The 16,610-nt window shown below is 49.9% G+C and overlaps 1 protein-coding gene and 1 long non-coding RNA gene across 7 annotated transcripts in view, besides 2 other annotated features; one reads left to right on the forward strand and one right to left on the reverse strand.

Annotated features, from left to right (window-relative positions):
• Window positions 641-16,610, forward strand: part of KCNJ5 (potassium inwardly rectifying channel subfamily J member 5) — a 29,808-nt gene continuing 13,838 nt past the window's right edge. For 2 of the 3 annotated variants that reach the window (NM_001354169.2, NM_000890.5), the window contains exon 1: window positions 641-1,006. The gene's annotated coding sequence lies outside the window, so the exon portion shown is untranslated. Of the gene's footprint in view, window positions 1,007-14,622; window positions 15,466-16,610 lie in introns of those variants that run through there. The other variant, XM_011542810.4, reaches the window with a different exon arrangement.
• KCNJ5-AS1 (KCNJ5 antisense RNA 1) lies at window positions 8,850-15,516 on the reverse strand. 4 transcript variants are annotated; one of them, NR_045767.1, is made up of 4 exons: window positions 15,434-15,516; window positions 13,716-13,896; window positions 12,652-12,796; window positions 8,850-11,998 (listed from the first exon to the last, which is right to left on the reverse strand). It is a non-coding gene; the product is annotated as a KCNJ5 antisense RNA 1 (long non-coding RNA). The 4 variants fall into 4 exon arrangements; NR_169217.1 differs by lacking the exon at window positions 15,434-15,516 and adding an exon at window positions 15,195-15,314 and having other exon boundaries at window positions 12,652-12,739; NR_169215.1 differs by lacking the exon at window positions 15,434-15,516 and adding an exon at window positions 15,195-15,314.
• Window positions 10,915-11,673: an enhancer, noted in NCBI's record as "NANOG-H3K4me1 hESC enhancer chr11:128771525-128772283 (GRCh37/hg19 assembly coordinates)". NCBI's record gives its function as "activates a minimal SCP1, AML or CMV promoter by ChIP-STARR-seq in naive H9 embryonic stem cells {active_cell/tissue: H9 hESC(naive)}" and the evidence as "EXISTENCE:reporter gene assay evidence [ECO:0000049][PMID:30033119]".
• Window positions 14,381-14,450: a silencer, noted in NCBI's record as "silent region_4065". NCBI's record gives its function as "represses an Ori minimal core promoter by ATAC-STARR-seq in GM12878 lymphoblastoid cells {active_cell/tissue: GM12878}" and the evidence as "EXISTENCE:reporter gene assay evidence [ECO:0000049][PMID:35858748]".

Raw genomic sequence — 16,610 nt, forward strand, 5'->3', positions numbered from 1 at the left:
GGGACAGCTAGCCTGGGTCCTGTCCCTGGACCTACTCCCCCTGCAGCTGGCGGATCAGGCCCCCGGACCCTCACTCCACGGCGGGAATCAGAGCCGTCGGGCGGGGGATGCAGCGCCCAGACTGTGGCTCCCCCGCCTTCCCAAAGGAATCCCCCCATCTGCTCCATCCCTCTCGGGAAACGGCGAAATGCTGCCAACCGTCCGCTTAGCGCACCGCGGAGCGACTGAGCAGCCCCGCCGAGGCTCCGAGCCAAGATTTCTGCCCTAATAGTTTCTCCCTTCTTTCTGTCTGCTCCACCGCACCCACTAAATACGCGGCGCTCACACACGGACACGCGTGACACGCGGCGCTCACACACAGGCATGGGACGCTCACACGCGCGCGCGCGGGTCTCCGTCCCTGGCACCCCGCAGCAGGGGTGCAGCCGGGGGCAGGGGGAGCCGGGGGAGGGCGCAGGGGGCCGCGGGGACGCGAGCGGAGGGCTGGATGCCTGCCGGGCTCTCTCTCCGCCTTCCTCTTCCCTCCCAGTCCTGCCGAGCTGACGGCGTCCCGGATCACATGGAGCCCCCGCCCCACCCCAGCCCGCCCCCCGCCGCCAACGCCGGTGGCCCTTCCAGTCGCGTTACTACCCAGAGATTCATTTGTACCAGGGACGGAGGGAGAGAGGAGAGGGAGGAGGGGACACACACACACACACACACACACACACACACACACACACACACAGAGAGAGAGAGAGAGAGAGAGAGAGAGAGAGAGATTGTTCCAGCTGCTCTCGCTAGAGAAAGGGAGTGACCCAAGGGGCCGCGAGTGAAGGGACAGGATGGCTTAGGTACCTCTGCCCACAGGACCCCACAACAGGGAGAGGTTCCAGCTACAGCTCCTCCGTGGGGTCATGGCAGGGGCTGGGGAGTCCCCTCAAAAGCCCTGAGCCCCCCTGCACCGCCGCTAAGGGACACCCCAGAAGTTAGCATCAGTGGGACTCGGAAGCTCCGATCTCAACAAGTAAGTTGTCTTCTTTTCCTCCTCCATTTCTCCCCCAGCTCGCGGGTTCTGGAGGGCAGGATGACACCCTCAGGTGTCCATCACCTGGGCAGCAGGCTTTCACAGGGAACCTGCTAGACTGGGAGCCAGGGGGGATAAGGAAAAGCTTAGGGCAGGTCCAAGTTTAGGAAATTGGAGATCTCCGTGGCTGCAGGCTGCCCTGTGCGTTGGGAGCCCAGCCATAAACACCTTCACTTCTGGCACTAGACCAGGGCTACCTGGGGGTGCCCCAGATCTCCCAGCAGTGGTTTGAGAGGCAACAGTGGCCAGGAGTGGGTGGGGTGTGGAGGACATTTTTCACCTGGTAGGACTCTTCCTTCAAATGGGAGCAGGGAGGGCCAGGATGGGGGGCGGTGCCCCCCTCAGCCTTAGATCCCCAGCCTAATCTTGCTTTCTCTTTTAAGTGTGGCCAAACTGGAAACACGGCCTTGTGATTTCTGCCCCCCTCGCTGCCCAAGTCACTTCCTGCGTACCTCCCTATCTCCTTTTAAAGAGCTTTCAAATGGTTCAGAAAGGCCAGGGGTCAAGCCTGTGAGGACAGAGGATAGGGAACAGAGAAGGCCGGCCTTGTCATTGCTCCCCTTCTCTTCAAGTCAGTGCTTCTCCCTGCAGAGCTGTTGGCCCCCTGGTTTTATCTGTGCCTTCCCTCAAACAGGGCTCTCCAACCCCAGGGGCTGTGGAGGGCCTCAGGTCCGGCCCCCAAAGTTCTAGGGCCTACCCTGAACATCAGGGTGAGCAACACCAGCCCAAAACCTGTTCCAGGAGCCTTTTCAAACACCAGAAGAAGATCAACAGGAACACGCCAAGTATTTTACTCTGTTTCAATCCTTTTAATAAGCTGAGATTATCATCCTCATTCTACAGGTGAAAAATTGAAGCCCAGAGAGGCTGTGCAATTTGCCTCAGGTGCACAGCTCATAAAGGGAGATTCTCTCCTATATCTGACTCCAAAATGTGCCTCGTTTTCATCAAAAGCCATATGGTTTATCGGGCTTTCTGGTTCTCAAAGCACTTTTCCATGTGAGGAAAAGGCTAATATTTATGAAACCAAGGTGCCGAGCTATATACGTTTACATGAGTTCATCTTGACACCAGTCCTGTGGGGCAGAGCTTATTTCTTCTGTTTTATAGATGAGAGTAAGGGTAACAGAATTCCAGGCACTAAGTGGCAGCAGCACTGCTATCTCCAAAACTCTTGTCCTCTGGCTTTAAATCCAGGGTCTTTCCACTAACAAAAGCTAATTCTGAAAGCTGCTCTTGTCTTTCCACATCCCTGCTTTTCCTCAAAGCCAGGTGTAAATTGCATCATCTGGCTGAATGAGGCGCTCAGGCTTCCTGGAATCTGAGGAACGAACAGGGCAGAGCAAATGATGTGGGAGTTAGAGGCCCATGGTTGGACTCTGGCATAAAGAGTTTGGTCAGCTTGGCTGGTATTTTAAACTATCTATGGACCCCACCTGAGATGGCACCATTCTGCCTAGAGGCATAAGGCCTTCAGTGGGAGGCCTGGGGCACAGCGTATGTGCTTCTTGGAAGAGCAGCAGCAGGGCCACCATTGAAAGACAGGAAACAACACATAGAGAAATTGCTGGCTCAGGAGGCTGAGGTAAGGGGATTACTTGAGCCCAGGAGTTCAAGACCAACTGGGGCAACATAGCAAGACCCCATCTCAAAAAAAAAAGAAATAAAAAAGAAAAAGAAAGGATAGAAAATTTGCCTATACATTCCACAAAGCACAAGGATTGTCCCCAGAACAACGTTCTAGACCTACTACCTAGCTCTCCAACAGAAAGGGAACCAGCCACTCAGGCATGGCTGTTTTCTGGCCTCTCCAAAAGCTGCTATAAACTGCCGGCATTACTCACAGGCAGCATTTTTTAAGTAGCCTGCCTGTGCTCTATCCAGTGAGCAGTTCAGCTAAAGGAGGAGCCAAGGGTGAGGGGGGGGGTCAAAGCGAACCTGGGCCACATTCACTCTGCCCAGGGCTGTCCCCAAAGCTTAGCTGTCTTCTCTGGGATGAAGTCAGATCTTAGTGGGGTTCCCCACCATGGCTTCCCTGGAGTCTGCTGGCAAGTCCTGAGCAGTGCAGAGCTCTTTGTCTGTGGGTCCAGCAGAGACACGTGTGTGGCCCTGTCACAGCAGTACTCAGCCTCGCTGTCCCTGGTGCCAAGCAAAATCCCTTTGGGGCTTTCTGCAAGCACCTGACTGGGTTTCTTGTCCAGGAATTTGGGAGACTCTGAAGGCTGCTCTAGTCATCCGTGATGAAGTAAACCCCCAAGGAGGGAAGAAACGACTAGAATGCCCATTCTCTGGTTTCCATTTCCCCTTCAAATGACCTGATTCTTCCTGCCTGCGGTGGGCGAAGCCACAAACAGGTGTCCTGTGCTTTCATGTACTTGAAAACTGCATCCACTTCTGCATTGTTTTTTTTTTTTTTCTTGTTCAACAACCATTCATTTGGTCACCTATCATGTGCCAGCAATCATTAATTTTTGAAAACCTTGGAATGTGATCGTTGGGGCAGCGTTATGCTTTTTGTTTAGGAGAATGTTAGCAAACACTCACATTTTCTGAGCCAATACTGATTGACTATTTAGGCTGGAGGTGGAAGGATGGTGGAGAGAAGGCAGGGGTCAGGGAATCCATAGGTAGTTCAAAGGGGCCATTTTTGGATGAAAATGTTCACTGTGTATGAGCTATAGACAGGTCATTGAGGGCTGGCAGTGTTTCCAAGTGCGGATCTGTCATCAGATAACTGTTAAGATAGTCGTCAGCCACGAAGGAATCTTTCTGTGTTTTGTTTTTATTTTCTAAAGAAAAAAACAAGAAGAATGGGAGTTCCAGTTCAAAAGATTGTAGTGAGGTATTTGAGTAAGAATACCTGAGTGTATTTCTCAAAAAGACTTGTGAAGTGGCTTTCCCTGGAATTGTTTTAAAACAGAGTGGACAGCTTCCACTTCTGACATTCTGCCAGCCAGGGCTGGCGTGAGCGGCTGCCTCTGAAGGCCCTGCCTGTGCAGCAGCAGCTTATCTAGTTCCTCCTACCTTGACATTCTGATAAGGGAGCTATTCTAGTCAACAGGGCCCAGGATGGCGGGAACCCTTGCCAAGAGCCGTGCTAAGTTAAATGGTAGAGCCAAAGCTTTAATATGTGACCCTGGAGATCCTGGCTAGTGCTTAAAATGTTAACTTCCATTATCGTTCCAGGCCAGAGCAAGCTGAGGGCAAAGGTCATGGATCATCTGAACAGTTGGCAGGTGGCAACGGCACTTCCTGGTCACCAGGGATCAATCAATAGGGTGGCCAGATAGTATGGGGGACAGGAAAGGGTGAGGGTGGGGGAGAAATGGAGGGGTTGGGGAGGGAAGGAGAGAGCAAACTTGGAGTCTCATTCTCATCCCCTGTGACTTGGCGGTCCGGGGCTGGGTGTACTGCTCACCCTACACCTTCTCCCAGATTTCAGGCACCCGACTTTACAGTCAGGGAGGTCCAATGCCATCATCCTACATTATTTCCTGCTGCTCAGAAAGGAAAATGGGAGTGGGGTGCAGTGCAAGAACCAAGAGGACCTCAGATGCCTCCTGGGACCAAACCTGTGTCTTCCCCTTAGAGTGTGCCCCCACCCCCCCCCCAACCCCAGGGATGACTGCACTGCTGAGCACTTGGTGCCTGGAACCCTGGGCAGTGGGAGGTGCTGCTTCTGCTTCAGCAAGGGGGCTGTCCAGCAGTGCCAGCAGAAGCCATGGGTGTCAGGCCCCAGGAACCAGCCCACTGGACATCACAGTATGAAGGCTTCCCCGGCCAAGTCAGGTTGCTTTGTGAAGTGTCCTTCTCCAGAAGAACTCCCTCAAAAATGAGTAGGGAGCTCCTAACACAGGCCAGACCTTGTGTAGGCACCTGAGCTAGACAGGGGGATCTTCCACACCGGGCCTGCCTGCCCTCTGAGCTCTCAGACCACTGCCTGGGGGCGGGCAGAGCTGCTGGAGAGACTCCAGCATCCGTGCTGCGCGCCCTTAGGGAGAGGCACAGGCATCGCCGGGGCGAAGGCAGGCTGCTCTTATGGAGCAGGGAAGGCTTCTAAGGGGGCTTGAGAAACAGGTTTGCTGGTGAAGGGGTAGAAGGAGCCCAGGGAGGGGTTTGGAAAGGAGGGAGCCAAGGCCAGACACAGGGCAGTAGGAGGGAGGCCTGGGCCTGCGGCTGTCCCAGGGCACCTGCCCCCAGCCCCAACCACCTCTCCTGCATCTCTTTCAATCTCCCCTGACTCCTCCTAGACACTCACGCTTGGTCACATTTTATTTCCTTTCTCTTCCTCTCCCTCTCTCTCTTTCTCAGTTTGGTTCTTTTTTTCCCCTCCATTTTTGTCTTTTTTCACTCATTCTCTTGATCATAAATGCCGTTTAGTGTATTTATGCTTCTTTAACTCAATCTCTTTGTCTGCTGCAGTCATTCTTTATTTTTCCACTAAATGCTTTGATTTTGAGATCATTATAGATTCACATGCAGTTTCAGAAATAATGAACAGAGATCTGCCATTCCCTTCATCCAGTTTCTCTCAGCGGTAATATTTTGCAAAACTGTAGTACACTATCAAAACGAATACATAGCCAATAAGAAAACAACATTTCCATCACCAGGAGGACCTCTTATGTGGCCCTATTATAGCCACACCCACTTCCATCCCACCCCACCCTCTCCTTAACCTCTGGCAACCACTGGTCTGTGTTTGTCATCTCAAGAATGTTATGTAAGTAGAATTATACAGTATGTAATCTTTTGGGATTGGCTTTTTTCACTCAACAAAATTCTCTGGGGATTCATTTAGGAGTGTGCATGTGTGCTTGTTGGGGGTGTGTGTGTGTGTGTGTGTGTGTGGTTTTTTTATTGCTGAGTAGCGGGAATGTACCACAGTGGGAATCGTCCATAGTGGGAAGGTACCATTGCTTGTTTAACCATTCACTTACTGAATGACATCTGGGATGTTTTCACTTTGGGACTATTATGAATAAAGTTGCTATAAGCATTTGTGTACTGGTTCTTGTGTGAACATAGGTATACAGGTTTTCATGTCTCTGGGATAAATGCCCAGAAGTGTAATTGATGGGTCATCTGGTAGTTGTATGTTTAGTTTTTTTTATTTTTTTTCGAAGAACTGTCCAGCTGTTTTCCATTGTGACTATGCCACTTTACACTCCCACCAACACTGTATCAGTGATCCAGTTTCTCTGCATCTTTGCCAACATTTGTTATTGTCACTATTTCTTATTTTAGCCATTCTAGTGCTATCTTATTGGGTTTCATTTTGCATTTCCCTGATTACTAATACCGTTTACCACTTTTTTTTTTTTTTTTTTTTTTGAGACAGAGTCTTACTCTGTCACTTAGGCTGGAGTGCAGTGGTGCAATCTCGGCTCACTGCAACCTCCGCCTCCTGAGTTCAAGTGATTCTCCGGCCTCAGCCTCCCAAGTAACTGGGACTACAGGTGCGTGCCACCATGCCTGGCTAATTTTTGTATTTTTAGTAGAGACAAGGTTTCACCATGTTTGCCAGGCTGGTCTCGAACTCCTGACTTCAGGTGATCTGCCCACCTCGGCCTCCCAAAATGCTGGGATTACAAGCATGAGCCACCACGCCTGGCCTGTTGACCATCTTTTTATATGCTTATTTGCCCCCCATATATCCTCCTTAGCAAAATGTCTTCTCATGTCTTTTGCCCATTTTCTAATTTGATTGGCTTTTGTTGTTGTTTCTGTTGAGTTTTGAGAATTTTTAAGTATATATTTTAGATACCAGTCCTTTGTCAGTCAGATATGTAATTTACAAATATTTTCTCCTACTTTGTAATTTTGCCTTTTCATCTTAACAGAGTCTTTTTCAGAGCAAGTGTTTTTAATTTGATGGAAGTTTAATTGATCAGTTTGTCTTCTTATGGATTGTGCTTTTCTTGTCAAGTCTAAGAACTCTTTGCCTGCCCTAGATCTTGAAGAGTGTCTCCCATGTTTTTCTCTAGAAAGTTTTATTGTTTTATATTTAAGTTCATGATCCATTTTGAATTAACTTTGGTATAAAGTCTGAGACTTAGGTCAAGGTTCTTTTTTTTGCCTAAAAATGTGCAATTGCTCCGGCACCATTTGTTGTAAAGGCTGTCTTTCCTCCACTGAATTCCTTTTGCACTTTTGTCAAAAATAAGTTGGGCATATTTGCAAAGGTCTATTTTTGGGTTCTCTGTTCTGTTCCATCAATCTATGTGTCTATCCTTCTGCCAATACCACATAGTCTGGAGTTTCCTCATAACTGCAGTTATGTAATGAGTCTTGAACTTGTGTAGACTGATTCCTTCCACTTTATTCTTTTCCAAAATTGTTTTATCTATTCTAGTTGCTTTCCCTTTTCACATAAGTTTTAGAATAATTTTATCTATATCTATAAAAAATCTTGTGAGATTTTGATAGAAATTGCATTGAATCTGTATATGAATTCAGAGAGAATCAACGTTTTTACTATATTGAGTCTTCCAATCCATGAATACAGTATGTTTCTCCATTTATTTGCTATTCTTCAGTTTCTTTCTTTGGCATTTTGTAATTGTCAGCAGTTCTTTTTGCTCTGCCATGAACTAATTGTGTCGCCTTGGACATTAGTCTTTCAGACCTTCAGTTCTCTTTCTGTAAAATGTGTCTAATAACACCTACCTTGAAATGCCATGGGAAAGTCAAATAAGTTAGCGCATGAGCAGTGCCCCATGGCAAGCGCCAAGATGCAGTTCCCTTCAGCTGGGTCTCTCATCTGTTCTTTGTTTCCTCCTCCTCAGCTTTCGTTCTAATGCCCACATCCACTTACACTTCACTTTGTCTTTCCTTTTTGTCCTTTGCTTTTTTAAATCCTTCTTTCATTCTCAACTCCTTACTCTGATTTTTCTATTTCTTTCTTTCTTTCTTTTTTTTAGACAGAGTCTCACTCTGTCACCCAGGCTGGAGTTCAGTGGCGCAATCTCGGCTCACTGCCAACCTCTGCTGTCTGCGATTCTCATACCTTAGCCTCCCGAATAGCTGGGACTACAGGAACTCACCACCACGCCCAGCTCATTTTTTTTGTATTTTTAGTAGAGATGGAGTTTCACCATGTTCGCTACGCTGTTCTCGAACTCCTGACCCCAGGTAATCCGCCTGCCTTGGCCTCCCACAGTTCTGGGATTACAGGCGTGAGCCGCCGTGCCTGGCCTTTCCTATTTCTTTCACTTTGTTTTTCTCTTATTCTCAATGGATTTTTCTGTTTCATTTCTTACCCCATGATATTTGTCTATCTCCTCTTTCTTGAATCATTTAAGCATTCCATTTTTGTGGAGTTGCTCAGACACTGAGTGTGAGTCAAGGGCCACTCAGCCTGGGTTCAACTCCAGATCAACCACTTACTAGATTTGGGGCAGTTGACTCACCCTCCTGCACCTCAGTTTTCTCATCTATAAAATGGGGAGAACAGTATCTACCTGGTACCTTTTCTGAAATGATTAAATGAGTTTATACATGTAAAGCATTTGGAATAAAATTGGGTATATGGTACAGCCCCAGTAGGTGACGATAATTACTGGGATTTTACCTGTTATGTCCAGTTTCTGTGGCTCTTTCTCACATTTACCATCCCTCACCATCTCATCCTTTTCACTTGTATATGAATATATTCAAACTCACATTATCTTGCTTTCAGGCTGTTGTCTCTGTGCACTTCTACCTCATCTTCCCTAATCATCACTGATAAATTGGCACCAGCCCAGGAAATCTGTCCCTTGGGTTATAGACAGGAAACAAGTGGTTTTTCATTTTGATTTAATTATTAATCCCTTTTATTATTTAATGTGGAATACATACACTGTGGGGTTACAATGAAGAAAATGGATTATCACTGTGCGGCTCACTTTCAAAGAGATGGCAGGCTTAAAAAGGAAAAGTACCAGACAGACAGAAACAAACGTGGGGAAAAAGCAAAATTAATTAATTTGATTTCCGTGCCCTTTTCATGGCCATGACTTTTCATACATCTTCTGTGAGATCCAGGAGGATGCATGTGGATTTTGCAAGTAAGCCAAGCGAGGTATTAAAGGGAAGGGGTGTAAGGAGTGGCGAGTGGCCCACAGTGGCTCACCAGGGAGGGCAGAAAAATATTCATCCTAAGCAAATGGGAGCCTGGCAGGTTGGGAAACTCAGTCACAAGCTCACGGGCCTGCTCCATACGTACAGTCCTCAATAATGGGCTTGGTCTGTGATGCAAAGCTACCTGAAAGGCACTCACCTATCACTAACCCTTTCGAATCTATATTCCATACCTTGAATCGGGCCTAATATCTGCCCTTTAAAAAATTGCTGAATATATTTAGACTCACTTAGATACACTGGGCAGAGGGATATTTTAAATACCATCAAAATGGTCTTTTTGTCTCTGTATTTTCTCCAAAGAATTGAACTCCCCAAGCAAAATGCCAGATCTGCCTGCGCTCCTTTCAGACTAGAATTCTGTCTCCCTTTAAAGATCCTTACATGAAACACCATTTAATCCTTCTCTCTCTGCCTTTTTGTGTTTATGGTGACCTCTCAGTATTTTGGTTTCTTTAATGACAAAGTAACCATGGAATTAGTCCACAGCATTTCTAGGGTACGTGTTTCTCTCCAGATATCAAAAAATAATGCATGAGGTTTTATTACTTCCTTAGGCTTGTGGTGGGGAATCCTCCAAGGATGGAGTTAAAATGAACAGCCAATACTCTCTCGCTCCTCTGGGCTACCCGAGGCTCTGCAGGCCCCAAACTCACCTTCTGTTGCCCCATTCAGCACCAGCCACCCCCCTTTGTTGTGCAGCCAGAAGCCAGGGCCGCCTGGCAGGCCTATTGCTAAATCTCCCAGTGTTTGTATTACATAAAACTTCACAGTCGGTGTTTCTGTGTCTACAATGCCAGAATCCTGGAAATGAGTTAACCCAAATTTGTGTGCCTTCTGGCAAGCCCAACTATCCAACTACAAAAGGGGACTAATGTGATAGGATTCTCCTGAGCCAACACAGGAGTTGAAAGAGCCCAACAGAGGTGCAAACTGCCATTATGATTCCATGATAATAATTCCACATACTAGGAATACCGGGATTATTTCAGACCTTATATCTGCTCTTAACCTATACCAATCCAATCCAGGGGGGCCAAGTACATTATACCAGTATTTGGTAGGATAGAATTTTTCCTGATAAAATGGCAGAGATGTCATGAACATTAGGATTTCCACAAATATTTCTATTTCTTATATAGGAAAGAGACCCAGGGTGGTAACCTGTAGAGTAACATGTAATGTGGAGCATAGGATGTGGCCAGGAGAGTCAGGGTTATGATTCAGAACCAAGATGGCTGGACTCAAATGGGTGTGAAGTAGGAGGGTGGGAAAGCGTGGGTTCTGAAGTCAGGCCGCTGTCAGTTCAAACCCAGGTTCTGCTGCTTGCAAGCCATGTGGTCTCTGGCAAGTTCCCTCCCTGCTCTGAATCTCAGTCTCCTGATCTGAATAATGGACACATTACACTTATTCCACAGTGTTGCTGAGCTGATCAAGTGTGTTAACACGTGTAAGGCACCCAGTCCAGAGTAGTGCACGCAAACACACACACACACACTTCACTTCCAGAGCTGTTCTGCAAAGAAAAACCAAAAGGCAGTACAAGCTGCTGCAGGCAATGAATTGATGACGTGTTTAAAACAAAAGCAAAAAGAGTGCAAAGGCCATGGAGAATGCGGCACAGACAGGAAAGATGCTCCCTAAAGAGCTTGCCCAGGTCAGGATGTCTCCGAGCAAAACGAGGGACACTGAGTGACTCTGGGAGCAACCTCAGTCCTGCATCCTCGTCAACACCCTGACTGTTCTCAACAATAATCCCACCCATGTGGGGAGCTCCCCTTTGAGGGACTGAGGCAGCCCAGAAAGGAGGCACAGGATGTACTGAGAAGGGGAAACCTGGGCGTCAGTGACAGCTCCCCAGGGATGGTGGGTCTGAGCAACGCTGATGCAGCGGAGCCCCTCACCCACCTGAGATGCCTCGTCCGCCTTCCCAGCAGCTCCCTTCCGCAGAGTGCTTAACAGCTTGGCAATCAGAGAACGCTGTGTGCACGGACAGCTCCGCGGGGATGAAGTGTCCCATCTGACAAAGACTGTTCTGAGATCCGCGCTGTCCCTGCCTGGCTCTGCGTTTCACTGAAAGCCCCTTGCCCTGATTCTAGCCCTCAGCCCCCACGCACAGCCACCGGCGACTCTAGCCACCCTGGATAGTAAAGGTGCCCTTTCTGGGGCATTCTGCTTCGAGAAGAGGCGGAAGAGCTGTGCATGCCTGGAGCCCCTGGGAGCCCATGACAGCCAGGAGCATCCTGGGCATAAAAATCAGCACCTGGGGCCTCATTCCACTCATCTCGCACACCTCTGCAGTCCCTTCCACGATGCCCTCACCGCTGGTAATCAGCATCCATTACATCGGCGCCAGGAACCAGCTCAGGAGGCCACCTGATCCGCCCTCCTGTCCCTCCAGCCCTCCTCTGGAAGGACTCAGCGCTTGCAGTCAGACATCTCTCCCCATTGAGACCATTTTTACTGTTGGTGAACTGGAGGACTATCGCACTGCCCAAGACACTGTTCTCTGCAGCAGGTTTGCACAGGGTGCCAGTTAGGGAGGAGAAGGCAGCGAGGAACCCCGCACTTTAAGGAACAGGGATGTCATAGCAGCCGTCTGCATGGGGGAGGGGGCTGGGGAGCACAGGGCTATTGGCAAGGAGACAGGGCTAGTTAGGACCACCGGAACCAGGCTGATGGGCACTGAGGGGGTAGCCCAGGCGGCCCTCTCTACTATCATGGGCCTTGCAGATTGAGTTCTCCTCTTCCTGCCGGGCCGCCTGCCTTTGTTGTCCTGAGGACTGACAGGTAATGTTTGTGGCAGACCTGTTGGTGCAAACAGGGAGGCTGTGAGAGGAATTCAGTGGCACTACCACAACTCTTAACAGCACTCTCAGCCTAACTCACAACGCAGCCCAACATGTCCATGGGCAGAAAAGGCCTCTCTCCGACTCCCTAGCCCAGAAATACGAACCGGCAGCTGACAGACTGAATCTGACTCACACATAGATTCTCTATGGCTTGCTCACTTTTTCAAAAATTGTTGAATTAGTGGTCAACATGGAAAAAAAATTTCATCTTCAAAAGTTTAATTTCTGGCTTTTCTGGAAAAAGCAAAGGGAGGATCTTGCAGTACTGGCTCCACGGCATGGCAAGGCAATAATGAACTAGAGCCGAGTAGCAGCTGCCGCTTTAGAACTGCGTGTGTGTACAGCTCACCACAGTCCCCACCACCCCCTACCATGTCCCCCAAACCCAGGGCAAGTTTTGGTTGCATTTATCATGGGTTTGTATATGTGCTTTTCCTAAAATAAAGAGAATGCAACATTTTAAATGTTTCTCTACATCAAAATATGAAAATGAAGCTCTAAGACATCCCATTTAAATAAAAATAGGAGAAAGCCTACTAATTGCACGTGACCAAGAAGGATGTAGAGTGTGTCTGTGTTGGAAGAACGCGATCCGGCAGCTGCACTCACCTCACACAGCCACAGCCGTGGGTGTAGACGGCAGAGCTCAGCACAGACTCACAGGTTCTGGTTACTATGGCATGCACATCCTGCCCAGCTGAGAAATTCCAGAGTGAGGAGGTGTTACCCTCACTCCTGACAGAGGCAGACCTGCCTTAGATGAAGGAGAATCCAGTGAAGGGGTGTTAAGAATGAAATCAGTGGCTGCTAGTTAGTGGTCTTGTTTCTACTGCGGGGGCCGTTGTCCAAGCAGACCTTCAGAGAGTGACGGGGCACTCTTGGTGATGATGCCAGAATGACAGGTGTTACCTGGGATGCATGGACATCTTATTTCCTGGGAGCAATCAGGGACCTCTGGGGGCAAGTATTGTGCTTAGAAACACCGAGGAGCAGCTGTTAGATGAGTAGGGAGCATGCTGGAGGGGAGCAGGAGGGAGAGGGAGAACACAGCCCTGGCTGGCGGGAAGTGACCCGAGCTGCCGGGCAGCTTGTGCACAGCGGACCACATGGCAGGAAATCATGAGTTCCTTCCCTGGTGCTCCCCCCGGGACTCAGAACAACCCCATCACACCCAGAGGGCTCAGGAGGAACCAACCTCCCAGGCAGCGGTGGCTGCACTTAGAGCCTTTGGAATCAGACAAAACCTAGCCCGCTGCTTAGTAACTGTGTGGCCTGAAGCAAGCTACCACATCACTCTGCTTTTGTGACCTGTAAAATGAGGCGACTAAAACGGACTTAATAGATCTGTTTCAGGATTAAATGATACAATGCATGAAAAACACTCAGCACAAAGATGGCACAGAACAGGGATTCCATGCTGGAGCTATTATTACTGTTTGCTCCCCTGTTCTCAGGCCCACAAGGCTCTGCCACCTCACCCTGCTCACTGGACGCCTTCCTCACCAGGGCCTTCCTGACTCTTCCTCGCCCACCCCAGACAAGCCAAATTCAGGACTGCACCCTGGCCTCTCTCTCACTCTCTACTGCACTGATTTTTTTTGCCTGTGTACTCCCCACCAGACCAGGAACTCCTTGCGGACAGAGAACGCATCAAGGGTCGTCAATCTCATTACCTGTTGGAGTCACCTGGGGCCAGATTCTGGGACTAGGCATCAGCACGTTGTCCAGCTCCCAGCTGATGGCAGCGTGCGTCCAGGGCGGAGAGGTCGTGCTACTCAGGTGTGCACTGAGGACCAGCCGCGTCAACATCACTGCGGCTTCTTAGCAAAACCGCGGACTCTGGAAACCCCAGACCTACAGAATCAGAACCCGCATTTTAGCCAGATCCCCAGGAAGGGAAAGCACAGGAACGAATGCCAGTGAAGTGTGAGTCGACCTCCTTCTATCCCCAGAGCTCAACATAATTCAAACACCCAGTGGGTGTTGAGTGGGGGTTCGCTGACTAATTGACTGAGTGAGTGAAGCCCTGTGTCAGCTTCCACTGGGATTTCACACCTACTCCATCATGTGCTATGAAACAAACAGGCTCAAAAAGCAAACCCGTAAAACGTTCAGAAATTCAAAAATAGACACAGACCTAAGTTGATAGAACAAATAGCTGCAAAATGGTGCGGTTTTTAAATGAAATACCTGACGGGTTTTTAAAGATTTATTACCACCGGGCTCTGTGCCATTAAACCTCCGAGTACACTAGAGGATAATTTTGTTTTGTTTTAAGGTTGGTAATTGTGAAAAGCTGGGAAACCAGGACTGGCCCCTGGGAGGATCCTGTCCACCGGTGTGGCTTGGGCACAGTCTCTGGGTGGCTGGGGCCGCTGGCCCGCCCTTCCTCCAGGAAGAGAGACCCGCTGGCGGGGAGTCCCCGGCACTGCCAACGGCCTCCCCACGCCCGTTCCCTGGGGACAGGGCCTCTGTCTCCCCTCCGCAGGCCCCTCCTGGCTCTCACCCTCCCACCCCGCATCCCCCAGCCCCGCCTCCTCCGCAGCCGCAGAGCTGCAGCTGGCCAGGGGGCCACACCCAGGCGTCGAGCACCGCCTTATCCAGCCGCACTGGGGGCTTCGTCCCCTGCGGGGTGAGGGGTCTCCCCTGTGTCACCCTCCGAGGCCACGCTAGACGTTGTGGCGCTCAGGGCTCCCGGTTCCTGCCGCGCTGGGGCTCCCCCGTCCCAGCCTCCCTCCCCACCTCTCCCAGGCTCCCCTCCCCTGTCGCAGCCACCCTCCCCCGTCCCAACCTCCTCCCCTTCTCTCGCACGATCCGGCCAAGAGATGGCGGGGTGGCGGGAGGGGCGCTCTGGCGACCCCGGAAGCGAGAAGCAGGCCTCTGCAGGGCCAGGGATGAAGGTGCAAGGGAAAGCCCTGGGACCTGGACCTTAGGCGTGGGAGGGACGAAAGGGAAAGGTCTTAGAAAATTCCTCAGGCGTGGCTTCTGGGGGGGCGGGGCGGGGGGAGGAAAGGGGCACGGGTTCCCGGTCTCGTAGACGCTGCAGCGGAGCAGAGCCTCTAGGCATGCCCTCATCTAGAGCAGCTGCTGCGGAATCCGGGGAGCCTGCAGCACTAGCCGTGCGATTCCGGGCGAGGTTTTTAAACTCTCACCTGTTTTCCCCTTTTGTAAACTGAAGATAATGCCTCTCTCCCGGGAGTGGGAGCACGATGCTGACACACCGTAGGAACTCGGGACTTGCTGATTCTCCTTCCTTATCCTCAAGGCGTTTGAAGCACTCCTGCCCCTCACCCCCACCCCTCCAGCCCCTTTCCCAGCCCTGCCCCCTGGTGGAAAATCCTAAGAGCTACCTCTCAGGAGGGCTCCTGTAAACCAGGCACTGTACACACACCTTTCATTTCATCTTCGCAGCAGCTCTTTTTGGTGAGTACTGTTATCCCCATTTTGCAAATAAAGCAACGGAAGCTTAGAGAAGTAACTTTTCCAAATGTGCCTCAGCTCCAGGCAAAATAGGAACCTAGGTCATCTGATGCCAGAGTCAGCCTTCCTAACTGTTTATGATCCGACTTCCCTTTCTGTACTGGATTTTCTATTTCTGCCATAACAGATGACCACAGACATAGTGGCTGGAAACAGCACCCACTTATCAGCTCACAGTTCTGTAGGTCAGAAGTCCAGGCTTGATGCGACTGTGTCCTCTGCTCTGTTCCCACAAGGCCAAAACCAGGGTGTCAGCGAGGCCAGCATTCTCATGTGGAACTCAGGGCCCCCTTCAAGCTCCTGTGGTTCTGGCAGAATTCAGGTCTTTGTGGTTGTAGGACTGAGGTCCTCACTTTTTTGCTGGCTATCATCTGGGGGCTGCTCTCAGCTCCCAGAGGTCACCCACATTCCTTGCCGTGTGGCCCCCTCCATCTTTAAAACCAGCAAAGGAGAAGCCCCCTCTGTCTAATTCCTCTAATAATTTGAATCTCTTACTTCGGGAAAAGCCCAATCCCTTCAAAGGGCTTGTGATTGGGTCAAGCTCACCCCAGATGAACTTTCTTTCTTCAGTTCAGCTCTGCCATATGACATGCCCCAGTCATGGGAGTGAGGATTTCCTGGGGTTCCTCAGGGGGTGTATACCAGGGGGCAGGAATCACGAGGGTGTGTTGGAATTCTGCCTACTTACAAGTGCCTTCTCTGTCCCCAGCATGTATTCTGGTGTTACATTCAAGTGTAACACCTCGAATGCTTCCTGCTAACCCTAAAGGGCCTTGAGGGGACTGGGGCAGCCTGTTCACCAACCAGTTTGGAGCATTTTCCTATGAGTACAGTCATATATATTCCCACAGAAGAGTATACAAATATCTCCATATGAGACATAAGCACGCCCTCCTCCATTCCTCTTCCTCCAACTTCATCCCGTGTTTCAAAGCTCAGAGAGTGGTACATTTTGATCCAGCATATCTTAGAAAGTAGGAAATTGATAAAGATGCTTGTGATCACAGATAGGGAGACTGAGTCTGTGAAAAGACTCCCAAGCCAGTGGTCTCTCCAGGAAGCCCTGCTGACCCCCAAGCAAGGCTCTT

This window comes from Homo sapiens, chromosome 11, assembly GCF_000001405.40.
Source record: "Homo sapiens chromosome 11, GRCh38.p14 Primary Assembly".
NCBI classification, from domain to species: domain Eukaryota; kingdom Metazoa; phylum Chordata; class Mammalia; order Primates; family Hominidae; genus Homo; species Homo sapiens.